General features: G+C 36.9%; 1 long non-coding RNA gene across 4 annotated transcripts in view; it reads right to left on the bottom strand.

Annotated features, from left to right (window-relative positions):
* TMEM161B-DT (TMEM161B divergent transcript) overlaps positions 1-27,381 on the bottom strand; it is a 167,793-nt gene that overhangs the window by 131,493 nt on the left and 8,919 nt on the right. Inside the window, exons 3-6 of one of the 4 annotated variants that reach the window (NR_105019.1) lie at positions 23,076-23,140; positions 17,560-17,746; positions 13,706-13,798; positions 12,539-12,614 (exon numbers count right to left, since the gene is read on the bottom strand). The exons of the other annotated variants lie outside the window; for them this stretch is intronic. This is a non-coding gene — a long non-coding RNA (TMEM161B divergent transcript). The remainder of the gene's footprint in view (positions 1-12,538; positions 12,615-13,705; positions 13,799-17,559; positions 17,747-23,075; positions 23,141-27,381) is intronic. 4 annotated transcript variants of the gene reach the window in all.

The raw sequence follows: 27,381 nt of genomic DNA, 5'->3' as shown, positions 1-27,381 counted from the left end.
CCAAGGACATAATAAAAACTAAACTTATAAATCTGTACCAGCCTCCTTCCTTGTCTATTCATCCCATCTTTACTTTCCTTGGTTCCTTACTACAAGACAAAGTGACCTGTGTTTCCTCACTTATCATGGAGAGACCCTTAATCTATTATGTCTAGTTTAACAGGTAAATGATTTGTATATTGATGAAAGAATTACTAGGAGAGAGTACACATGGAAAGCTCCCCCAAAACCAAAAACTTAAAAATTTTTTTTATTACTTTCAAGGGGCTTTGTATATACTAATCACTTTATAAATAGGAATGAATTTGGCATAATAATAATCAGACAAAAACTAAAGACCAGAATATTTAGGGAAGTGAAGTTGTTCTCACATTCTAGGTATGAAAAGATAATGACCCTCCAATCTTGTCTGAGTGTCCCTTCACTTTATCTCAGCAGAGGTAACATGTTTCCTTTCTTCTATTACAGACGTCCAGAACAGCAAATTAAAAAAAAATCCACTTCTTTTTCTCTTTTTCCTCATAGTCTTTACACATTGAAATCACTGTTTTCCATGGCCAGAGATTTCCTGCTAGCCTCTCTTCAAAAGCAGTCTGTGCTCTTCCAACCTTTCCTCTCCACAGCACCCCTACAGTCAAATCCGAACTTCAGGAGCCAGTGTTACCTCTCAGTCTTAGTGCTTTCAGGAAATTCACTTTCAGGAAAAGGATTTGATAGAGAATTCACTTTTTTCCACAGGTGACTGCTTTAAGGAATTATCTTTTAAAATCTTTTAAATTATGTTTTAAAATGAATTTCTGATGGTGGAATATTAAAGTCTGACAAACTAGTAGAGGGATGGTGGTTGGATTTTTAGGTTAGTAACCTTCCCTCTAACCTTCCCTCTGCCCCTTATAGCTACAACAGTAGATCTCTTTTCCAGTAAAGCTAGTTCTGTTTTCAACAGACTACAAAGTATAGCTATATGATCTGCCCTTAGTCTCATGTAACTTTGATCTATTTTCTTTCAGAGGTATCTCCTTCTCAAAAAGCCAGGAGGAACTGGCAAAGAGTTGAAAAGAGTTTTTTTTTTCACCCAGACTGAAATGACCTAAGTTGCAAGGACTGGGTGATCTCAGTTTCTTTGCAAAGTACAAAGTATTGTTTTGCGTGGTTGGTAGTAAACAAAGAACAGAATGCATCACTGGTAACACTTAACCAAAAACAACTCTTCAGTTTATGACCTATTGCCTAAATCAATGGCAGCTTACAATGGACATGTCTGTAAGTGGAGACCCTGAATATAATAAAATGCTAACATTCACGACTTCTGTAAAAAGCATTAGTAACTAAATAAATCCAACCATTGCTGCCTTTGCACTGAGCATGAAGAACATTTCTACTGTTTAATAAGAATGAATATCATCTCAATAGTTTCTAACATATAATATTCAAAAGTTATAAACCTATTGCTTTAGCATTTTAAAGTCAGGGCCTTAGTGTGGAAGGTCTATAGCCCAAAGAGAGCAATAGCATTTTATATGATGTTAATATTTTACCATTGTTTGAGGCTCAAATAAAGATTAATAAGGGAATCCCAAAAATTAATAGCCAAAGCAAAAACTTATGGAGAGATGGTGGACTCAACTCTTTGCGATGCATTACTAAAAGGTAGGTATAGAACTCTTTGAGGCTCTCCCTCATTAAATACAAAATCTGCTCCTTTGGTCTCTTTGTATAAATAGTAAATATCAAATAAATATCAGTGATGTGGGGCTAACATTAGCATCCCTATACCTAAGTCAAAATTGCACCACCTAATAATAATTATATGCTTCCATCCTCAATTTTTGTCTTTGACATAGCTTCTTGTTTCTTACACAGACAGTTGAAATTTGGCATCTACAAGTAAAGAATGAATTTACCCAAGGAACTGGTGGCCATGGCCTAAGGAACTAGTATGACAGATTGACTAAGGATGTTAATAATCATACTTGTAGCTATCATATATGCATAAAGTACTTGCTGTGTTAAGGACTGCTTTAAGTCTTTAATGTATACTAGCTCATTTAATCCTTTCAAAACTCTATAAGGTAATTATTATTCCCAATTTACAGAGAACAAATCGAAGGAAAAATGAGATAAAATCGTCCCTAACATTGCAGTTAGGAACTGCCAAAATTTGAAACTAGGCACTCTCACTCTGAAGCGACATTAGTAGCCACCTGAACTCATTAAATTAGTCAATCAGTTATTCATATATTCGTCAAATATTTATCAAATATGCACCACATTTTCAGCACCGTGGTAGACCCCAAGGCATACATGAGTGAGTGATATCAGATATGGTACCTACTTTCATAGAATGTACTAGCAGTCAACATGAACATTAATCAAATAGTTACACAAACAAATGTAAAATTGCAATGTTCCTGGCACACAAAGGAGGGATGTATGATGCTATGAGAATCAATCAGGGAGATTAGGGAAAGTTTTGCTGAGGGACTCACATATGCACTAGATATGAAAGATAGGCAGCCTTAAACTAGACAAAGAGGAAACAGAAGAGATTTCAAGGCAGAAGAAACACCATGTACAAATTCTCTGTGGTAAGTGGGAATAGAAAGAGTACTAGTAATTGAAAAAAGGCCAGTGTGAGGTGGGGTCACAGAGTGTAAGAGAAAGAAGAGTGCAAGACAAGGATGGAAAGGTTTTATAGGTCATGTTAACTTATGTCTTTGCCTTATTTTTTCAAGCACTGAAAGATTTTATATTATTTTATTATTTTTACTCTTAATTTTTTAGAGATAGAATCTCACTCTGTCACCCAGGTTGGAGTGTAGTGGCATGATCATGGCTCACTGCAGCTTCGAACTACTGGGCTCAAGCAATCCTTCCACCTCAACCTCCCTAGTAGCTAGGGCTGTGCCACCACCCTCAGCTAAATCTTTTATTTTTTAGAGATGAGATCAGTCACTGTGTTGCCCAGGCTGGTCTCAAATTCCTGGGCTCAGGTGATCCTCCTGCCTTAGCCTCCCAAAGTGCTGGGATTACAGGTGTGAGCCACCATGACCAGCCCGAGCACTGAAAGATTTTAAATGGGGGAAATTACATAAATAGCCTTGTATTTTTAAAAGCCTACTCTAACTTTAATGTTGATGATGGGATGGAAAAAGACCAATGAATATGCATAAATGAGTTAAAAGGTTATTGTAATAGACCAAGTGACAGATGACTGGACTGGAGTGAACAGGGTGATAAAGAGAAGTGGATTGAATCAAGCCATCATAGGCTTGATTTTTTTATCATAGAAAAATTAATATGGCTCTCTTGCAAAACGATCTAAGCAAGTTTGGTCACACACAACTATTTTGTTCTTTTTGACAGATAAAGGTAGTCACCAACTGTTGAGTGAAAGGGTTGGCTACTAAGTTACAATAAAGCAAGTCTTGGGCCAAATTCTGTTGTACACACAAACATTAAAAAACTATGGCTGAATGTGGTGGCTCATGCCTATAATCCCAGCACTTTGGGAGGCTGAGGTGGGCAGATCACTTGAGGCCAGGAGTTCAAGACCAGCCTGGCCAACATGACATAACCCTGTCTCTGAAAAAACACAAAAATTAGCTGGACGTCCTGGCACACGCCTGTAATTCCAGCTACTCAGGAGGATGAGGCAGAGAATCGCTTGAACCTGCGAGGCGGAGGCTGCCGTGAGCCAAGATCATGCCACTGCACTCCAGCCTGGGAGACAGAGTGAGACTCCATCTCAAAAAATTAAAATAAACAGTTATTGACAGGGAGTCATACACACAACAATTCATATAATCTCTTCAATAAACTCAATTAACATCCAATTCTCTCTTTCATGTATTAGTTATCCATGATGCACAACAATTTACCCCAAAATTTAGTGACTTGAAACAACAATAAATATTTATTATATCAGAGTTTCTGTAGGTCAGGGATTTGAGAGTAGGTTGGCTGGATAGTTTTGGTTCAGGGTCTCTCATGAATCAAGATGTTGGCCAGGGCTGTTGTTACCTAAGGCTTAACTGGGACTGGATGGTCTGCTTCCAAGATGGCTCACTCACATTACTGACGAATTAATCTTCACGTTTCCAGAATATCTTATTGGTTACACAGACCAGCTCTATTTGATATGGGAAGAGACTATAAAAAGAGATGAACACTAAGGATCATTGGTGTCAGGTCATTGACGGCCAACTTGGAGGCTGGCTATCATATATGACTACCACATGTATGAAAGTTCATTTAAGGCAAACGCGGCAATATTGAGGCAGGATTTAGGCAACCAGAATCCATGGAATCAATAGCTAGATAAGGGACATTTTAGAAATCAAACCTTGGATGCCATTCCTAAGGATAAAGATTATGATGCTTACTAGATTTTTACAACCCATTTTGCAAAGGCAGAATGTCTAAAATATATTAGCCAATGCACACACTTTGAACAACACTAATTTCACCAGTGAAAACACATTGCCACATTGCTTATATTCAATATACTAATTAGAAAAATTATAGCGTTGTTCAAGATAAGTACGACTTGAGCACTTGACATAGCTTCCTCTGGAGTGCGGCCTTTTGATTAAATACTTTCTGACCATACATGGGAATGTGACTTCTTAATTATGGCAAACAAGTGCACTTATAGCCTAAATTAACACACATAATATCACACACACACATATATCCACACAGTATCATATTATCTGTGATCATTTATTTGAAAGTAAATTACAGACATCATAATACCATCCATTATTTAGAAGATGCAACCCATGAGCAAAAGTAACTATCTTGGCCAATGACTATCACCAAATGGGGCTGTTCATGATGGATAAAATAACATACAATGGAAATTACTGAATGGTCATTAGTAAAGCATTCTGGATTGGAATGTGTTACAGAAAAAGCACTTATATTGATTTTTATTTTTGAGGACAAAGAATTTAAGATTATATTATAGGGTTAACATGAGAATTACACAAGTTAATATATTATTTCGAAGCACTTAGGACAAGTGCCTGGCACATACTAAAGTTATCAGTGTAAATGTGATGATGATGACAATGATGATGGTGGTGGTGGTGGTGTTGGTGATCATCTAACAACTTCAGATAGATACATGTCCCTTTATGATTATCAGTTGTATTGAACACAGCTATACTACCCAGATTCCTTTTCAGGGCTGAAAGAATTCTTTGCTCAGCTTCTGGGAATGACGTTGGCTGACAGCTCTCAAAATATCAGCTCCATACAGGAATTGCTCTCAGCCTTACTCAAGGTCACACTCATCTCCAGGAGTCAGCCATTAGATAAATGAGTGGCCATTGATGTACATACAGAGGTTCAACCCCCTGCCTTCATTTGGGATGCCTCTAAAGTGCCACTCTAGCTTTAGAGCCATCCTAGGGTCAGCTTAGGCTTTATTGTAAGTACATCACAGTGAACTTCTCCCTCTACTCAATCCTGCATTTCACCAGTGTTGATTCTAAGAGCATTCTCGAATAAATATTCCTGCATGCAAATCTCCTTCTCAGGGTCTGTTTTCCAGGGAACATGATCAAGCACATCAACGTTATTTAGTAAATTAGAAGGCTGTATAGCTGGGCATGATGGCTCATGCTGTAATCCCAGTAGTTTTGGAGGCTGAGGCAAAAGAATCGCTTGAGGCCAGAAGTTCGAGACCAGCCTGGGAAACATAGTGAAAGCTTGTCTCTACAAAATATTTTTTAAAATAATATTTTTAAAAATATTTAAAAAGAAGACTGCATACACAAATGTACCTGGCCCAGCGCAGTGGCTCACGCCTGTAATCCCAGCACTTTGGGAGGCTGAGATGGATGAATCACCTGAGGTCAGGAGTTCGAGACCAGCCTGGCCAACATGGTGAAACCCCATCTCTACTAAAAATACAAAAATTAGCCAGGCGTGATGGTGCGTGCCTGTAATCCCAGCTACTTGGGAGGCTGAGATGGGAGAATCGCTTGAACACAGGAGGTGGAGGTTTCAGTGAGCTGAGATCGTGGCATTGTGCTCCAGCCTGGTTGACAAGAATGAAACTCCATCTCAAAACAACAACAACAAAACAACAACAATAACAACAACAACAACAACAAAAATGTACCCTTTCTATTGTTTGGTAATGATTAACACAGGGTATAAGTATGAGATAAAGTTATATATGTAATTAAAAGTATTGTTCATTTAGATTAGAAATTTGACATCTTAAGTTGGTACTAGAGACTAATAGAACAAATTATTAATTGAAATGTTTATCATATTAAATACTTCCTTACTGGAAAATTTGAAAATGTATATACAACTGTTCATCTAATGTATGGGAGCACAAAAGGCCATGAAAACTTTTAACACAACAAACCAAGTTAGGTACAGATTCTGTTTGTCAGGATAGGCTAGGGAATAATGCTGATAGTTATAAACTAAACAAAAATCTGAGAGTCCTATCACATGACAGTTTCTTACTCAGGCAAATCTGCCAAGAGTGCAGGAGTTTCTCCATGTCAGCCCTTCACATAGTGACTCAACATTCCAGATTGCTCCCTTTTCCTGGTGTCTCCATTTCAATGTGATATCTCAGGGCTCTTTGTTCCAGAAAAGACAGTATGGATGGGCAAATCATACACTGACTCTTACATGCTTTGGCATGGAAGTGATACATATCACCTTTGGTCACTGTCCATTGGTAGATATAGTCACATGGCCCTGCTCAACTTGCAGAACTAAGAAATGTAGAATTTTACATATCCAGAAAAGACAGGAAGACTGAAAATATTGGCAAATATTGGTAATCTCATTGACAGAAGTTATACTTCCCAAAGAAAGCTAATATTTTAGTATCCATAAGGATTATCTTATTAAAAATCCACTTTTTATGTTGTTTTTGAGATAGGGTCTCACTCTGTCACCCAAACTGGAGTGCAGCAGTATGATCACAGATCACTACAACCTCGACCTCCTGAGCTCAAGCAATCTTCCCACCTCAGCCTCCCTTGTAGCTGGAACTACAGGTGCATGCCACCACACCCAGTTATTAAAAAAAATTTTTTTTTTTAGATATGGAGTCTCACAATGTTGCCTAGGCTGATCTTGAACACCTGGGCTCAAGTGAGCCTCCCATCTCAGCCTCCCAAAGTGCTGGGATTACAGACATGTGCCACCCAGCAAAAATTCCTCTCTTGAGACAAACTTCCTGCATAGATTTTATCCTAGAAAAGTAATTGTAAGCTCCTATGTTTATTATGTAATTTGAATGACAGTAAATTTATTAAGTATATAGACAGACTCAGCAGCTAAAGTAGAATTTAGCAAGGCATGGATAGTCTCTTCAGTTGTAAGATAAACAGTAAAAATAGACCACTTTGAGTGGGCAGTGAAAATTTTGGTATAATTTTTTTTTCCAGAGGTTTCCTTGAAAAGATGATGTAAAATTTAAAAATAAGAATAAAACACAGTCACATGTTGCTTAACAGACAAGAATAAGTTCTGAGAAATGCATCATTAGGTGATTTTGTTGTATGAAAATCATAGAATATACTTACACAAGCCTAGATGGTATTGCCTACTACACACCTAGACTGTACAGTATAGCTGATTACTCTTAGATTATAAACATAGCATGTTACTGTACTGAATGCTCTAAGCAATTGTAACACAATGGGAAGTACTTTGGTATCTAAACACAGAAAAGATACAGTAAAAATACAGTATAAAAGATTAAAAATGGTACACCTGTCTAGGGCACTTCCATGAACAGAGCTTGCAGTACTGGAAGTTGTTCTGGGTGAGTCAGTGAGTGAGTGGTGAGTGAATGTGAAGGCTGAGGACATTACTGTCTAGTACTGTAGACTTTATAAACACTGTACACTTAGGCTACCCCAAATGTATTTTTAAAAATATTTCTTAAATAATAAATTAATCTTAGCTTACTATAAATTTTTCATGGTTTTGTTCCTTTTTAACTTTTAAAAAACTATTGATATCTAATAAATATACATATTTCTGGGGTACATGCATACAATGTGTAAGGATCAAATCAATGTATTTAGGATATCCATTACCTCAAACATTTATTATTTCTTTGTGTTGTGAACATTTCAAATATTCTCTTGCAGCTATTTTTAAATATACAATAAATTATTGTTAACTATAGCCATCCTACATGCTATTAAACATTAGAACTTATCCCTTCTTTCTGTGTTTCTACCCTTTAACCAACCTCACTTTACTCACTCCACCACACCCTTCCTAATCTCAACTTTTTTTCTACTCTCTACCTCCATGAGATCAACTTTCTTAGCTCCCACATGAGTGAGATCATGCAATATTTGTCTTTCTGTACCTGGCTAATCGCACTTAACATAATGACCTCCAGTTCTGTCCATATTGCTACAATGATAGGATTTTATTCCCTTTTTGTTGCAGAATAGTATTCCATTGTGTATATATAGCACATTTTCTTTATCCATCTGTTGAGGGATGCTTAGTTTGATTTCATACCTTGACTATTGTGAATAGTGCTGCAATAAACAATGGAGTGAAGATGTCTCTTTGATATACTGATTTCCCTTCTGGGGAGATAAATACCCAGTAGTGGGATTGCTGGATCATACGGAAGTTGTATTTTCAGTTTTTGAGAAACCTCCATACTGTTTTCCATAATGGCTGTATTGTTTTTTTTTTGTGTGTGTGTGTGTGTTTTGAGATGGAGTCTCACTCTGTCACCCAGGCTGGAGTGCAGAGGCATGATCTCGGCTCACTGCAATCTCCACCTCTCAAGCTCAGATGATTCTCCCACGTCAGCCTCCCAAGTAGCTGGGATTACAGGTGTGTCCCATCATGCCTGGCTAATTTTTGTATTTTTAGTAGAGATGGCCAGGCAAGTCTTGAACTCCTGGCCTCAAGTGATCTGCCCACCTTGGCCTCCCAAAGTGCTGGGATTACAGGCGTAAGCCACTGCACCTGGCCAATAGCTGTACTAATTTACATTCTCACCAACAGCGTATGTTTCTTTTTCTCTGAATCCTGGTCAGCATTTATTTCTTGTCTTCTTAAAAATGTTTAATTATTAGTATTTTTTTAGAGATGGGTTCTCATTATGTTGCCCAGGCTAGAGTGCAGTGATCACAGGTGTGATCATAGCGCACTGCAGCTTAAATTCCTGGCCCCAACCTCCTGAGTAGCTGGGATCACAGACACATGCCACCACACCTATTTTTTGCCTTTTTGATAATAGCCATTCTAACTGGGGTGAGATGATATCTCACTGTGGTTTTGATCTGCATTTCCCTGATGATTAGTGATGTTGGGCATTTTTTCATGTATTTGTTGGCCGTTTGCTTGTTTTCTTTCGAGAAATATCTATTCAGATCCTTCGCCCACTTTTTAATGGGACTTTTTTTTTCCTGTTGAGTTTCTTGTATATTCTGGATATTAGTCCCTTATCAGATTAATAGTTTGCAAATACTTTCTGTCACTCTACAAGTCATCTCTTCACTCTGTTGATTGTTTCCTTTGCTGTGCAGAAGTTTTTTAGTTTCATATAATCCCATTTATTTATTTTTGTTTCTGTTGCCTATGCTTTTGAAGTCTTAGACATAAAATCTTTGGCTAGACCAATGTAGACCAATGTCCTGAAGTGTTTCTTCTGTGTTTTCTTTTAGTAGTTTTACAGTTTGGAGTCTCATATTTAAGTTTTTAAATTCATTTTGAATTGATATTTGTATATGGTGAGAGATAGGAGTTTAGTGTCATTCTTCTGTATACGGATATCCAATTTTCCCAACATGATTTATTAAAGAGAATATCCTTTCCCCAATGTATATTCTTGGCATGTTCACAAAAAATCAGTTGGCTATAAATAGATAGATTATTCTTGGGTTCTCTATTCTGTTCCATTGGTATATGTGTCTGTTTTTATACCAGTAACATGTTGTTTGGGTTACTTAGCTTAGTAGTATATTTTGAAGTCTGGTTGGGCAATGCCTCTCACTTTATAATTTTTGCTCAGGAATGCTTTGGCTACCTAGGGCCTTTGTTGTTCCACACAAATTTTAGGATTTTTTTTTCTATTTCTGTGAGTAATTTTATTGGTGTTTTGATAGGGACTGCATTGAATCTGTAGATTACTTTCAGTAGTATGGTCATTTTAACAATATTAATTATTTCTATCCATGAACATGGGATATCTATTTGTGTCCTTTTCAATTTCTTTCATCAATGTTCTGTCGTTTATGGCATAGAGGTCTTTTACCGCCTTGGTTACATTTATTTCTAAGTTTTTTTTTTTGTAGCTATTGTAAATGGAATTGCTTTCTTAATGTATTTTTCAGCTTGTTTGTTATTGGCGTATAGAAACACTACTGATTTTTGCATGTTGGTTTTGGATCCTGAAACTTTACTGAATTTGTTTATCAGCTCTAAGAGCTTTTTGATGGAGTCTGTTTTGTCTTGTTTATTAACAGTGTCTTGCGCTGTCACAACCCAGGCTACAGTGCAGTGGCATGATCATTGCTCACTGCAGCCTTAAACTCCAGGGCTCAAGTGATCCTCCCACCCCAGGCTCACAAGCAGCTAGGACAACAGGCATGTGCCACCACACCTGGCTAAAGTTTTTAACTTTTTTTAGAGATTGGGGTCTCACTATGTTGTCCAGGCTGGTCTTGAACCCCTGGGCTCAAGTGATCCTCCTGCCTCAGCCTCTCAAAGTGCTGAGATTACAGGCATGAGTCACCATGCTCACCCTTTTTGGTGGAGTCTTCAGGTTTTTCTAGATATAAGATTATGTTGTCTGCAGAGAAAATATATGACCTCCTTTTTTCCAACTGGATGTCTTTTAATTCTTTCTCTTGCCTGATTGCTCTGGCTAGGACTTCCAGTACCATGTTGAATAAGAGTGGTGCAAGTGGTCATCCTTGTCTTGTTCCAGTTCTTTGCAGGAAGGCTTTCAGCTTTTCCCTGTTCAGTATGATTTTAGCTCTGGGTTAACCATATATGGCCCTTAATATGCTGAGGTATGTTCCTTCGAGAGTTTTTATCATGAAGGAAGTTAAATTTTATCAAATGCTTTTCTGTATCTGTTAAGATGATCATAAAGCTTTTGTCCTTCATTCTGTTGATATCACTTATTAATTTGCATATGTTGAACTATGCTTGCATCCCTGGGATAAAGCCCACTTGATCATGGTGTATTATCTTTTGATGTGTTGTAAGTTTTTTACTTTATAAACTTTTTATTTTTAAAAACTCTGTAACTCTTGCATAATAACACAGTTTAAAACACAAATACATTGTGCAGCTGCATAAAAATACTTTTTCTTTATATCCTTATGCTATAGGCTTTTTTCTATTTAAAAAATTTTTAATTTATAAAAATGTCTTAAATACTGTAATCCCAGCACTTTGGGAGGCCGAGGCGGGCGGATCACGAGGTCAGGAGATCAAGACCATCCTGGCTAACATGGTGAAACCCCGTCTCTACTAAAAGTACAAAAAATTAGTCAGGCGTAGTGGTGGGCACCTGTAGTCCCAGCTACTTGGGAGGCTGAGGCAGGAGAATGGCATCAACCCAGGAGGCGGAGCTTGCAGTGAGCCAAGGTCGCGCCACTGCACTCCAGCCTGGGCAACAGTGCGAGACCCCATCTCAAAAAAAAAAAAAGAATGAAGACACAAACACATGAGCCTAAGCCTACACAGGGTCAAGATCATCAATATCACTGTCTTTCACCACCATATCTTGTCCCACTGGAAGTTCTTCAGGGGCAACAACACACAGGGAGCTGTCACCTCCTATGATAACAATGCCTTCTTCTGGAATGCCTCCTGAAAGACCTGCCTAAGGCTGCTTAATATACTCTAAATATACTCTAAAATAATGATAAAAAGTATAGTATAGCAAATATATAAGCCAGTGACAGTTGTTTATTATCATTATCAACTATTATATACTGTGGATAATTGTGTGTGCTAGACTTTTATACTAGACTGGCAATGCAGTCGGTTTGTTTACACCAGCATCACTACAAACACGTGTGATAGGTTGTGCTACATTACAATTACTACAATGTTACTAGGCAATAGAAAATTTTCAGCTTCATTATAATCGTACAGGACAACCATTGTATATAAGGTCAGACATTGGCCAAAATATCGTTATGAGGTACATGGCTGAAGTTGTTTTATGTATAAATAAAAGTGAGCTTTGCCTAAATTTAATTCCATGTTTGAGCATTCACTACTTTAAAAAGGACTCTCAGGGCACTGTAGCTCATACCTGTAATCCCAGAACTTTGGGAGGCCAAGGAGAAAGATCGTTTGAGTCCAGGGGTTCAAGACCAGCCTGGACAACACAGCAGGACTCCGTCTTAAAAATAAATAAGTAAATAAAATAAAAGGAGTAAAATTCTCCTGTCAAGTAAGTATACCTCACACCCTTATTTCTATGGCATTCTTCAATAAGAAAAACATTCGTATGAGAAACATTCCATATTATAGATTATAAAACAGCTCATACCATGAAAAGTTCAAACATGAAAAGAGTCCATGAAAACAAAAGTGAATGAAGATACAAATTTCCATGCTTTCCAGACCTTAAAAATAAACATATTAAGTTATTTTTGGCATACAGTCCTATAGAATTTTATCACATGCAATTGTTTAATATAATGATCACTATAATCAAGATATAAAACTATTCCATCACTCCAAAGAAATTCTCTTACGCTGCCCATTCATCATCACACCCTCCCCACAACCCTAACCCCTGGCACTACTGATCAGTTCTTCATTGCTGTGATTTTGCAATTTGAGAATGTTATATAAACAGAATCACATAATACATAACCTTTTGAGATTAGCTTTTATTTCAGTCAGCATAACAGCCTTGAAATGCACTCAAGTTGTTGTATGTATCAACAGTGCTTTCCTTTTTATTGCTCAGTAGGATTCTGTGATAGGGTTATACCAGTTATCAATTGGAGGACATCTGATTGTTTCCTTTTGGGCTATTGTAAATAAAGCTGATATGAACATTTATGTACATGTTTTTGGGTGTAAATTTTGATCTCCCTAGAATGAATATCCAGTAGGTGTATTACTGGGTTGTATAGTAAGTGCATGTTTAACTTTATAAGAAACTGCCAAACTGTTTTCTAGAGTGGTGATATCATTTTACATTAGCATCAGCAATGTATGAGAGATCGAGTTACTCTGCATTTTATCAGCACTTAATATCATCAGTACTTTTTATTTTAACCATTCTAACAGGTGTCTGGTGATATATCTCATTGAGGTGTTAATTTGCATTTTTCTAATGGTCAATTATGTTGATATATAATAATGCTTTACACTTACATCATGTCTTGCATTTTTGCAAATAATGTTTTAAACATCTCAGTTAATCTTCACAAGTACAGTGTGGCTTATTTATTTTATGTATTTATTTTTTTCGAGACAGACTCTCAATCTGTTGCCCAGACTGGAGGGCAGTGGCTTGGTTTCGACTCACTGCAACCTCCACCTCCCAGGTTCAAGGAATTCTTGTGCCTCAGCCTCCTGAGTAGCTGGGATTGCAAGCGCCTGCCACAACACCGGGCTAATTTTTGTATTTTTTAGTAGAGATGCGGTTTCACCATGTTGGTCAGGCTGGCCTTGAACTCCTGACCTCAAATGATCTACCTGCCTCGGCCTCCCAAAGTGCTGGGATTACAGGTGTGAGCCACTGCACCCGGCCCAGGGTGGTTTATTTCAACTGATAAAAAGCTGATATATAAATCTGGAAGAGAGAAAAATGTTGTTACTCCAAAGCAGAATCAAAAGAGTTTCAAACTCAAAAAGAGATAGAGGTACTTTAGTCAAACGTCCCCATTTTATGGAGAACTAAGTTCCAGGGGGATTAAATGGCTTCTCGTACAGCTGGAATCACACCCAAAAACCACACTTCTGATGCTTGAATCTCTTCCATAATGTCCTATCAAGGAAGTGATAATTTATGCTTGAATCTTTCAAGTGACTGGGAAACCACTCATTTTTTGCCCTGTTCTTTTTGGATGTGTTTCCTGACATTGAACTGAAATGACATATAAGCAAGTGACTAAGTCTGCAAGTATTTTGACATCGAGTTGAAATGGCTTGCTATAGCTCCTGCCAATGGGTCTAGTTCCATCCTCTGAGACCTTCCAGTGGAAGCGTGATCACTTTTTCACATGGCAGGATGTCAGATGCTTGAAGACAGTCATCATGATCTCATATATATATATATATTCCAGGCTAAACATTTACATTTTCATTCAACCGTTCTTAAGGTGAGTTTCTTCATCATTCTGCTTGCTTTTATGTAAACCAGTCCTAGATTTCTTAGGGTGCAAAATACTGAAGAAAATATTCCTAGTAATACAGCCAGGTAATACATTTTCCAATTATTCATAACTGCTGCAAGAAATAATGTAATGTCCTTGCCTTTCACTTAGTATATCATGAGTATTTCTTTATATCATTAAAAACTATCTGTAAGTGTATTTTTAAAATTTTAAGTTGAATCCTTTATTTTAAAATTGTGTTTATTTTTTGAATGTGTTACACGCAACATGGCACAAAATTCAAAACTTTCAAGAGGTTTTACAGTAAAAAAATCATTTTTTCCCAGACTTCTAGTTGACTATAACATGCTATTCTAGAATGTGACATAATATTTCAGACACCTGTTTTTTAGAGACATAACTGTTTATGATTATGACACTATCATATGGCTATACTATCTTTTTAATCATTCATGTTAAACTTTTTTGCCATTATAAATAATTTGATTATGAACTTCCTTATATATATATAACATGAATATATTTTAGATTATTTTTAAAGTAGATTCTTAGAAGGAAATTGCTGCATTAAATAGTATGGCTTGTACATAATTACTTTCCACAAAATTACTATTTTATGTTTGCACCAGTAGTATATGTTTATGGTAAATATTATTTTTTCCAGCTTATTAAATGTCTAAAGGTGTTTCACACATGCCAGTCCCTGTGCATATCATACAATTAACTGTAGTTTTTTTTACTAAATATAATGCTAAATAATGCCTTACAATTAATATTTGTTGTATTTTGTGTTTACAAGTTTGTTTTATTCACCAGATTTTAAACTCCTGCAGTCTAACATACCTTATTCATATTCTAAAGCCTAACATAGACATTTACACAGAGTTGATATTCCAGAAATTTGTGACATCTAAATGAGTGAATAAACTTAAAAATCCTACTAGTTTGTTGGACTCTGCCTATATTGTTATAGACTCTCAAAATTTTATTGATTCTAATTATGCCCATACAGAATTTAGCCCAGAGTCAACATCAAGCTGTTCCAAAGTTTGGAAAAAATACTATCCTTCCTGATTTTGAATCAGGTAAAAATTTGATAAATATGGATTCTATGTTTTCTTTTAAGTCAATGAAACACAGAAGACCGAGGACTGTAATTCTATACTAAAAACCTCTGGAGAGGCTGACTGCCATCTAGGAGTCAGTACCCTTTGGATGCTAAGTCCTTCCCTGACAGTACTACCATCTAGCCTCCCCAACCCCTCCAACTTACTCACAAGGATATGATAAAAAAAAAAAAGTCAGTAATACCTCATGGGCCCAGAAAAATATTACCTACTGCATTTTATTGGTTGACTAGCCTAGTAACACTATCAGAAAGAAAATTAAATTAGACTGAAATTATTATAGATAAACCCGTGCTGTATTCGATTGATTACTGCTTTCTCTTATAGATGCTCCCAGAGCATCCTTTAATTATTCCTTTTAGATTGTTGCCTAGGATCAGCACGGTCCTGGCTGGTTATCAGGGGTGTTGGAGAATCTCAGTTGAATGAATAAAGTCCTAGTCAAATAAAGATTATTTATGTGGGAGGGTTTCCATGTGATATGGATTATCATTTTATATCACTGGCACTCCCGTAGATGTCCATAATCTTTTCTGTATTTCTTAGGGTTTGTGACTACTTAGACTACTGAGAAAGTACTTTTTCCTATTAATAGTTTGGATAGGGTCGAGTAAAGTACCTGCATACAGACAGCTGTGACTCCTGCTACACGTGAAGGGGATGGGAAGTGGGAAGCAGTTGTCAATTAAACAGAGACTCTTCCTGATCACATGAAATACTCTTTGGGTGATCTTTGGATATTAGCTTGGCTGCCACATGACTTCCCGGTTCTGGTAACCTGTAGTAACCCTATCAGGTCTATTTCAAACTCTGGCAATCTCTGTCAGAGCAGAGACTGTGGGGTCTGTAATTTGCTCATTCCATTCTGGTTCACATAGTCCCGCCAAGAAGTCCCTCAGACCTCCTCTACCCTCCAGCACCCGTTTCATTATCTCCCATTCCTTCCAACCCAGGAAAACCTAATTGTGATGGTTAATTTTATGTGTCAACTTGGCTGTGTTAAGGGCTATCCAGATAGATGATAAAACAGTATTTCTGTGTGCCTCTGTGAAGAAATTAGCATTTGAATCAAGACTGACTAAAGATCTGCTCTACCAGTGTGGGTGGGCATCATCCAATTCACTGGAGGCCTGCCCAAATAGAACAAAAAGGGCAAAGAAAAGGTGAATTTGCTTTATTCTTGATTTAGGACCTCCATCTTCTCCTACCCTTGGACATCAGAACTCCTGGTTCTGCAGTAGTCAGACTCTAGGACTTATACTAGCATCCCTACCCCACATTCTCAGGCCTTATTACATTGGGTATTAAGTTATTGATTCTCCTGGTTCTCAGCCCTTTGAACTTGATTACACCACTGGCTTTCCTGGTTCTCCAGTTTGCAGACGGCAGATCTTGGGTCTCTGTGATTGAGCCAATTCCCATAATAAATAATCTATCTATCTATCTATTATCTATCTATCTATCTATCTATCTATCTATCTATCTATCTATCATATATCATCTATCTATCTAAAAAAGATAACCTGAGATACAATAAAATTTTAAAGAGTTTATTTGAGCAAACAGTGATTCACAAATCGGGCAACTCTAAACCAGAAGTTGTTTCGGAGCTCTGCTGAGCACAGCTCAGCAGTGGGGAGGCTTTTATAGGAGGAACAGGAAAGCAAAGAAAATATTTATTTGGTTATAGTTATATCATTTCCTTCTTTGGTCATCCTCTTGGAAAGTCCCTAGCTACATAATTATAAAGCTGCTTCTGACTGATTGAGCTTAAGTTGTGTTATATTCATTTACCGGAAATAGCTCCAGTTAACTTTTAGATTATGTTTGCAAATCAAGTAAGGTTAACTTATGAGGCCTAACTGGGTTTCTCTGCACAGAGATTCTTCAGGCATGGTCTCCATTTTAATTTGCTTTAACAACATGTATCATTCTATTGGCTTTGCTTCTCTGGAGAATCCTGACTAATACACGAGTCTTTTAGAGATATTACCGGATTCTCTTTGAACTCTGTGTATTAACTTTACAGGGTTTCTGTAACAAACTACCACAAACTGAAGGCTTAAAACAATAGAAATTTATTCTCTTACAGTTCTGAGGCCAGAAGTCCAAAATCAATGCATTAGCAGGGCTGTACTTCTACGGGAGGATTGAATATCTGTCCTTGGCCTTCTCCAGCTTTAGTGGCTGTCAGCATTCCTTGATTTATGATCACATTACTCCATTCTCTGCCTCCACGGTCACAACTACTCCCTCCTCTTCTCCATGTCTTCTCTTCTGTCATATATGAATACATGTCATTGACTTTACAGTCCACCAGATAATCCAGGATGATCTCCTCATCTCAAGGTTCTTAATTACATCTGCAAAGACCTTTTTATCCAAATAAGGTACCATCCACGATTCTAGGATTAGGAGGAAGGCTTACCTTTTGCAGGGGCCACCATTCTACCCCTACATCTTACCTAAGAATAAAATTTTTTCTTCTTTCAAGCTTTGCCTCTTGAAGCTCTGAAGAAATTTAAGACCTGTTCTTTTCTCATCACCTTAGCTTTGAAGACTTAGGTCTCCATTTAAGCACTCTTTTGGCAAATTCAGTCTATTCTTTTGTTTCAGTTGATTTTTTTTTTTTTTGGAATTTCTTCTTCTTTTGGTTAAATGACACCAATGGGCAAAAAAGTTACTTAGTAAAAAAAAAAAAAAAATTCAGGGATTGAGATTTCCACTTTTCAACCTGAAGGCCGATGTTTTCCCATGTTTAGTGTTCTATTACGTTTTCCATAATTCCTCAAAGATGAGTACCACTGTTCTCAGATCTCATTTGTACTTTTCCCCCCAAAGGCTGTAATGTAAAATACTCAGAGCAAATGTTATAATCTAAATTCAAACTCTTAGGTACTCTCTTAGAATTTCTTCCCCTAATTAGGAACAGTATTGCTTTCTGTCAATATCTATAATATGCTTCTGAGTAATATTAACAAGTTGCTCACTGGTGTGAGCCTGGCTCAGTGTTTTGAATGTATTACTTCTATTAATGAGAAAAATCTGATGGGAAGGATATCGCTATGTCCATTTTACAGATGGGGAAAAGGATACCCAGAATAATATAACTAGTAATGTTGTCAAAGACAAAATTTCAACAAATGTAAAGATCTAATTGGCTTTTATTAGTGATTCCAGAATTGGGCAGCATCTCATTCTATAAAATGGAATACTGCTTCAGTAAGTTGAGCAGAGGAAGTGGGCTTTATAGGCAGAAAGGGGCTAAAGAAAGCAGAACTAAGGAATACAAAGTGTATTGATCATTTCAAAAAGTTACTTTCTTTATAGGGTTAAAAAAGAGAGGACTTCCTTATCACGCTGATTAAAACTGGCCTGTTTGGAGATTTGGTTGTTTTCTCCCTCCTGATTTCTTGGAAGGTCAGATAAACAACTTAGTTTTGGTTCAGTGACCTGGAGTTTTAGTATGAGTGACTCCATTTTGGTTTGGTCCGGAGGGGCCTGGTGCAGGAGCCCAATCCAAAACAATAGCCTCCCATAAATTTTGTTAAGCAGTGTTGAAACAGAATTAAACCCAGGTTTGCCTGGCCCCACAAACACATGTTCTTTCTATTACATCAACCCACTTCTCTAGTTTCCTTTGTAGAGAATGAAGCAAATAGTAGTTAAGGAGTTCTTTCTCTGTCAGCTCTAACCTTACAGTAGAAGCTGCTAGTGGGCATTTCCCTTTCTTGATCATCTTCTGGTTCTGAACAGAATTTTAAAAGGCCTGTTTTTTGTCCTTCCTTAGCATTTTTTGCAAGTCTCACCTCATTTGGGGGTTTCAGGTTTCTTGACACTATCCTTTAGGGCCCATGTTACCTTCTTATAATTATCCTTGGTATGCGGTTGCTTTCTCCCAAGGTTTCTGTCACTTCCAATTAGCCAAACAATTCCTCCTTTTTGGTCAGAATTAGGTTCCCAGTTGCTCTGCTGGGACATTAAATCATGAGAAAGACAAGTCAAAAACTTGTCAGATGTTTTTGATTTTAGCCCAATAAAACTTTTAATGTGGTCCAGCTATTTAAATTTTCTTTTTTGTTTGTTGCATTGTTATAGGTATTGACAAATAGTATACTGAGGGCATTGTTATCAACAATTAATTCCTTTATGGAGAATTCCAATGTAGCAATATATTTGAAACCAGTTTTTGTTGTTTTTGGAAACAGGGTCTCACTCTGTTGCCCAAGCTGGAGTGCAGTGGCATGATCATGGCTCATTAAAGCCTCAACCTCCCAGGCTCAAGCCATCCTCCTGTCTCAGCCTTCCAAGTAGCTGGTACCACAGGTGCGAGCCACAATGCCTGGTTAATTTTGTAATTTTTTTGTACAGATGGGGGGAGGGTCTCACTATGTTGCCCAGGCTGGTCTTGAACTCCTGGCCTCAAGCAATCCTCTCACTTTAGCCTCCCAAAGTGCTGGGATTACAGGCCCGAGCCACAGTGCCCAGCTGAAATTACTTTTAAGTCTTTTGTATAAAATGCTAAAGCAGTTCCAAGCTTCCCATTGTCTATATGTACACATGGCTATTTTAGCACATTCTGATTTGTTAGCCTCCACTAAAGTTCGCCATGTGGAAAAATATTTTCTTTCTAATAAACTAATCTATCTGTATATCACATCTTGAGTGTAATCCCAAACCAGAAGATAGGAAATGGGATGGGGAATAGGACCTCTTTGAAGCAAAACATGTCAGAAAGCCTATGAAATAAGACCATAAAGTAGAGGGCCATGAATTGGGGTGGGAAAAATATTGTAATTCTTGCTAACTTCGAAGTAAGATTTAGGATTTCTTTCCATTGTGAACATATGCAAAAAACCACAGTGTTATTACAAGTATTTTGGTGACTTTTTCACTTATCAAAATCACAAACATTTTCCTATCACATTACTATATTTGTAGATATCTCAAGATACAATTATTATTATTATTTCAAAATTATTCATTAGACCTGCTAGATTTTATTATTTATTTAATGCATTAATAAAAAGTACAGGTATAGTATACATTTGTTAAATATTTTGATTACCATATTTTAGTATAATTGATTTTATTTATAATCCTGTGCATTATATTTGATGTACAAAAGACATTACTCTAAAAAGGACTCTATAGGCTTCACCAGACTGTCAAAGGGATCTGTGGCATAAAAAAGGTTAAGAAAATCTGTTATGGGCTCTGGCATGGTAGTTAAGAGCATGTAGTCTGATGTCACACTGCTTGGGTTCAAATTCTGCGCTGTCACATATAATATGACTTTGGTTAAATTATGTATAGTCTTTGTGTCTTAGATTCTTCATGTGTAAAATGGAGATAATAATGCCTACCTAAATGTCTTGCTATGAATATGAAGTAATATCAGTAACAAGCTTAATACAATGCCAGGCATATAGTATGTTATTTATCCCTGTATCCACCCAGATGAAAAGAGTTTCATTTGGATCCTATTTATATTTATTTATCTTACAAATTTTTTTTTTTTACTGTGTTGTCACTAACACAGTGACTAACACTGACTAAAGTTTTAAATTATATTTTAAAATACTGACTAGTTTTAAATTATATTTTAAAAATACATGTATAAGGAAGAATGATAAAGACCCACATGCCCTCCATCCAGTTTAAGGAGAAAAAAGTTACTTTTACTCTAAAAAGGATGCATATAATTCATTATCCAAACAATGACAATTTGGGGAGTGACAGTGCTATTAATCATTACACCAGGCAATCAGCAAACCAGAACTGTGCTAGGTAAACCAGGACTGTTTGGCCAAACCAACACATATAATTATCATACTTTTAAGCTCCTTGTTCACCTTTTCCTTACTTCATTCCCTTCCCTCTGTAGCTAGAGGAAATCACTGCCTTGAATTTGTGCTTATCATTCTTTTGCTTTAATTTATAGATTTACTTATGTTTGTACCCTTAGGCTATTTACTTTCATTGGTTCTTTATATAAATGGAATCCTACTGTAAAATTCTTTTGTGAATTTTTATTTGCTCAACATTTTGTTAGAGATTTATCTATGTCCATGAACTTGTAATTTATTTTTTCCACCACTATATTCTGCTGTATGAGCATATACAATGTATTTAATCACTCTACTGTTGATGGACAGTGGATTTTCTTCCACGTTTTACTGTTATAAATGCCATTATGAATTTTCTTGCTCATGTCTCCTGCTATACATTTTTCCTGGGTCACAGAAGATGTGCATCTTCAGCTACTAGATAATACCATATTGTTTCCCAAATTGATTATATCAATTCATACTCCAACCAGCAATGTATAAGAATTGTAATATTGCCAGACTTTTACATTTTTGTTCATCTGGTGGGTGTGAAATGGTATTTCCTTGTGGTTGGGTATCTTTTCAGGTTTTCTCCTGTATGAATTGCCTGTTTGGGGTGGAAAGCATTATCTTCATTTTCATTGAATTGTAGTGGTTCTTTACACAGTGTGAATACTAATCCTTTCGATAGTCACATGTGTTGCAAAGATCTTTTCCCAGTTTGTGACTTGTCTTTTATTTTCCTATGGTGTCTTTTTCCTTTTTAACTTTTTATTATAGAAAATGAAAACATACCATAGTATCCCTTTATCTATGGGTTTGCTTTCCATGGTTTTAGTTAACTGCAGTCACCTCATGTCCAAAAATATTAACTGAAAAATTCCAGAAATAATTCATTAGTTTTAAATTGCACATCATTTTGAGCAGCATGATGAACTCTGCCATTCTGCTCCATCTTGCCCAGGATGTGAGTCCTCCCTTTGTCCAGTGTATCTATGCTGTATATGCTACCCACCTGTTAGTCACTTAGTAGACTTCTTGGTTATCAGATCAAGTGTAGCAGTATCACAGTGTTTGTGTTCTTTACTTTACTTAATAATGGCTTGGAGTGCAAGAGCGGTGATGCTGGCAATTTGGATATGCGAAAGAGAAGCTGTAAAGTCCTTCCTTTAAGTGAAAACATAAAAGTTCTCAATAAGGAAAGAAAAAACACAGTATATACAGGGTCCAGTACTATTCTCAGTTTCAGGCATCCACTGGGGGTCTTGGAACACATTCCCTGCAGATAAGTGGGGATTTACGGCATGTAAAAGTATGAAGAATAGAATACTTAGTCCCCATATACCTATTACTCAAAAATTCTCAACTCATAACCAATCTTGATTTATACTACCACCCACTTTCTGCAACTCTTATCTTGAAGCATACCCCAGACATTATATCACTACATCTCTAAATATTTCAATATGTATTTCTAAAAGATAAGGAATCTTTAAAAATTACTATCACACAAAAATGGTTTAATTCCCTAATATCATCAAATATTAAGCATTCATATTTCTATAAATGTGCCCTTACAAAATTTTTCAAAAACGAAATTTGAATAATGATACAGATAAAATCCTGTGGTAGACAACCTCCAAAATGGCACCCAATAATCCCTTCTCATACTGTACTTGGTTGGTGTGTGTGTCTGTGTTAGTCTGTTCTGCATTGCTATAAAACAATACCTGACGCTGGGTAATTTATAAAGGAAAGAACTTTATTTGGCTCACAGTTCTGCAGGCTGTAGAAGCACGGCACCAGCATCTGCTTCTGGTGAAGGCCTCAGGAAGCTTTTCTTCATGGCAGAAGAGAAGGGGAGCAGCATATCACATGGTGAGAAAGGGAGCAAAAGAGATGACAGGCTCTTTTAAACAACCAGCTCTTGTGTGAACTCAGATAGTGAGAACTCACTTATTGCCACAAAGACAGCACCAAGCCATTCATAAGGGATCTACCCTCATGAACCAAACACCTATCACCAGCCCCACTTCCAACACTGAGAATCACATTTCAACATGAGATTTGGAGGGGACACACATCCAAACCGTATCAGTGACCCACAGGTTGGCTACATATCTGTGTAATAATATGTCACTTTGGGGGCTAGGTCAACAACGGCATAAAAAACCATGGTGGCTTCTGCTTCTCTCTTGGATTACTTGTTTTAGAGGAAGCCAGGAAGCTCTATGAAGAGGTACATGTGGTGAGGAAGTGCGGTATTCTGCTAAACAGCTAGTGAAGAACTAAAGTGTCCTGCCAATAGCATGTGAAAGTGTATCCTCTGGTACTAGTTAAAACATCAGATGATTACAGTCTCAGCTGATGGTTTGACTGATAACTTCACAAGAGACAATGAATCAGAACCACTCAGCTATGCTGCTTCCGGATTTTTGACCTTCAGACACTACATGAGATAATGAATATTTATTGCTTTGCATGTTGTATTTTGGGGCAGTTTATTATGCAGCAATAGAAAATCAGTATACATTTTGGTACTCAGAAGTGGGGTGTTAGCAAAAACCTAAAATGTAAGTGTGGTTTTAAAACTGGCAGTGAACAGAAGGTAGAACTTGGAGGAGAGTGTTAATGAAAGTTTGAAGAGCTTTGAAGAAATTTTTTATAGAAGCATAATAGATAACCTTTGAGGAGGCTGCAGGTGACATCTTAACAGATTAGAAAACTCTTCTTGGAAACTAGAGGGAAGGAGATCCTTGTTACATAATGGCAGAAAGTTTAGCAAATTTGTTATCCACAGATATGTACAAAGTAGAAAAAATGCCTAATTAACTCATTGATCTAGCAAAGGAGATTGCCGGCCAAGTGTTAAATATTTCATGTGTATTTTTTCTTGTTGCTGATAGTAAAATGTGTGAGAAGAGAGACCATCAAAGTAAGGACTGTTAAACAAAAAGGAGCCATGGCTGGGCATGGTGGCTTATACCTAAAATCCCAGAACTTTGGGAGGCTGAGGTGGGAGGAATGCTTGAAGCCAGGAGTCCAAGATCACCTGGCCAACACAGCAAAAAACAGACTCTATTACAAACAAACAAACAAAAACAAGTCAAAACTTGCTGGATTTGAAGATTCCCAGCCTGTGCAGATGACAAATGTGCTAAAATTGGGGAATATCTCTGAGCAAAAAGCAAATCTAGGGCACTGCCAGTAAAACATAAAGTTGAGGCTGTAGTTATAAAGTCCTTTAATAGCTCAGAAAGATCTTAAGTTGTGCCTCAGAGTATTTTCATCAGACAAACGATGTGTCTCAGAAAATCTCTGAATAACATCACAGGTTTTTAAAAAGTTTAAGGGTATTTTCATCAGCAAAAGCTTGAGGCAGAGTTTATGTGGGACGAGATGTGTGGTTGTTGCTTTTGTCTGATGGAGTGAACTCAAAATTCACAAGTGAGCCACAAAGTTTTTAAGAGAAGTCTATTAGCAGAAACATGGCCAGCCTGGACTGAAAGGCACAGAGAGAACCAAATGGAAAGAAGCTTGTGGGACATCCAAGCTTCTATAGGCAGAAAGCAGGCAGAAGTGTAAACAAGAAAAAGAAAGGGTGACTCAGTGAGTAGATCCAAGATCCCAGAAGGCAGAGCTAAGAGAATTCTAGGCCTTGAAACTTGACCAAGCAACTGCCAATCTGTGCCCAGGTGGGTTTCAGAATTTCTGTGAACCTATGTACCTCCAATATTCCCTCTTTTTAAATATACATGTCCACATTTATTATCCTATTCATTTTCTATTACATGTGGAAGCAGAGACTGTGTCTTTAGTGTATGAGTCTTCAGATCAAAAAGAACTCTTCTTGAGGAGCTGTACTTAAGTACACCTATGAGTGTCATCCACAATTGGAACTGATTTAGATTTCTAGACCTTGAACTAATGGTGTCATAGGATGAGAGCTTTGGAGAGCTTTTGGAGGGGATGAATATATTTTGCAAATCAAGAACTATCAATCATTGGGGCCAAATTGTGACAGCTAGCTTCCCAGTATTCATGCTCTTGTGTAATCTCCTCCCACATATTGTCAGGGAAATGTCTGTGTGACTAACATTATATAGTAGAAGTAATGTTACATCACTCTGAATGATCATGGTTTCTGTCTCTCTCTTGGATCACCTGTTCTAGAGAAAGCCAGTTGCCATGTTGTGAGAAAACACAGGCAGCTCTACGAATGAGCCCTCTAGGAAGTGGATCCTCTAACACCAGTCAAACTTTCAGACTACAGCCCAGCCAACATCTTGACTGCAAATTCATGAGACCTTGGGCCAGAACATCTAGCTAAACCACCTGTGGATCCTAAGAAAGTGTATAAATATTTTTAGATTTAAGCTAGGGTGATTTGTTATACAGTAAGATAACTAATCCAAGTTCACAGGTTGCTTCATATTGAACTAAGTCTCTTGTAATCTACGGTTTTCTCCACTTGTCCTTCTCGTCTCCTTTTCTCCTGCAACATATTTGTTGAAATTAATTTGTCCCAATATTCTCCAAAATTGGATTTTTCATTTATATTTTCCATTCCAAAATATTACGTTGTGGTAGGTTTCATTGGCTTAAAGTTTTAATGGTGTTTATATTTTCTGCAAATTGGATGGATCTAAAGACCTGATTAGTATCAGGGTCAAATTTTTGATAAGATTTTAACATCAGTAGTGGTGTTTTTCCATTAAGAAACATATGTTTTCTTGTCTGTCATGTTAGCAGCTGTTGAAATGCAATAAATAAATCCATTTGTTCATTAGGAATTTCAAAATGGCAATTTTCTATCATTCCTCCATTTATTAGCTAGAATACATGTACAAAGAGAACCCTCTCCTCATCTACTATGTGGTTACTTACAGTTCACATACAAAAGGCAGGACAAATGCCTAATTACTTTAAAAACAAAACAAAACTGATTTTCAAAATAATGAATTGATGCAACAGCATCTTCTACTGTTGACCAACTAAATGCTGTTTGTTTTACAATCATTATGTACTCAGATTTAAAGACACTTGATATGTTCCAATCAATTGCATTTACTGTCCTTATTGACACTCAAATGGTCTCATCTATGGCCAGAAGGATGCTTTTCAGTTGTCTCCTGAGTCCATTTGATATGACACCCTCGTAGTCTCTAATAGCTTCCTTGCTATCTTGCACAAGGTATTCCAGGCTCATCTTGTATGTTTCCTGGGCATGACTGAAATTAACCGCTATTCTGAGGGTTTATGGAGTCTTGAACAGAGGTTTTTAACTTTAACATATTGGACATACATGTTTTCCTTTATACATATTACATTTCCCTACCATAAGATCATAAAAATATTTTGCAATCTTTCTTTTGAAGGTTTACTATGTTTTCCTTTCACACTTACATCTTAAAGTCATCTGAAACTACTTTTTCTGTATGGTGTTAGGTAGGGAGGACCAATTTCATTTTTCCCCCATATGAATATGCAGCGTCATCTATTGAAATGATCTAGCTTTCCCTGCTGGTATGCAATGCCATCTCTGACATAAGTCAAGATTCCTTACAATCAGGATTCCTTATAAATCAATTTTTCCATCTCTAAGCCAGTATTACAATATCCTAATTACTATGGTTTTAACAGATTTATTGAGGTACAATTCACATACCAATTTACTCATTTAAATGCACAACTGAATTGATTTTAGTGTATCTACAGAAACGTGCAACTATACATTTTAGAACTTTATTGCCTCAAAAAGAAACTGCACCCTTTAGCTGTCACTACCTCGGGCCCCCATCACCCCAAACTTTGTAAGCCCTAAACAACCACAATCTATTGTCTCAATACATTTTCTACTTTATACACTTTGTTTAAATGGAATCATAAGTGGTCCTTTGTGACTGGCTTCTTTATTTCAGCAGGCTTTCAAGGTTTATCCACATTATAGCAGGTATTAGCAGTTCATTCCTTTTTGCAGCCAAATATATCCCATTATATAAAGGTGTCACTTTTTGAGTATCTTTTCATGGATAAACATTTTATCTTTTGATGGATATTTGAGTTGTTTTTATTTTTTTG

This window comes from Homo sapiens, chromosome 5, assembly GCF_000001405.40.
Source record: "Homo sapiens chromosome 5, GRCh38.p14 Primary Assembly".
Lineage (NCBI taxonomy): Eukaryota > Metazoa > Chordata > Mammalia > Primates > Hominidae > Homo > Homo sapiens.
Note: the sequence above shows the minus strand (reverse complement) of the source record. Positions and strands in the feature narration are given on the sequence as shown.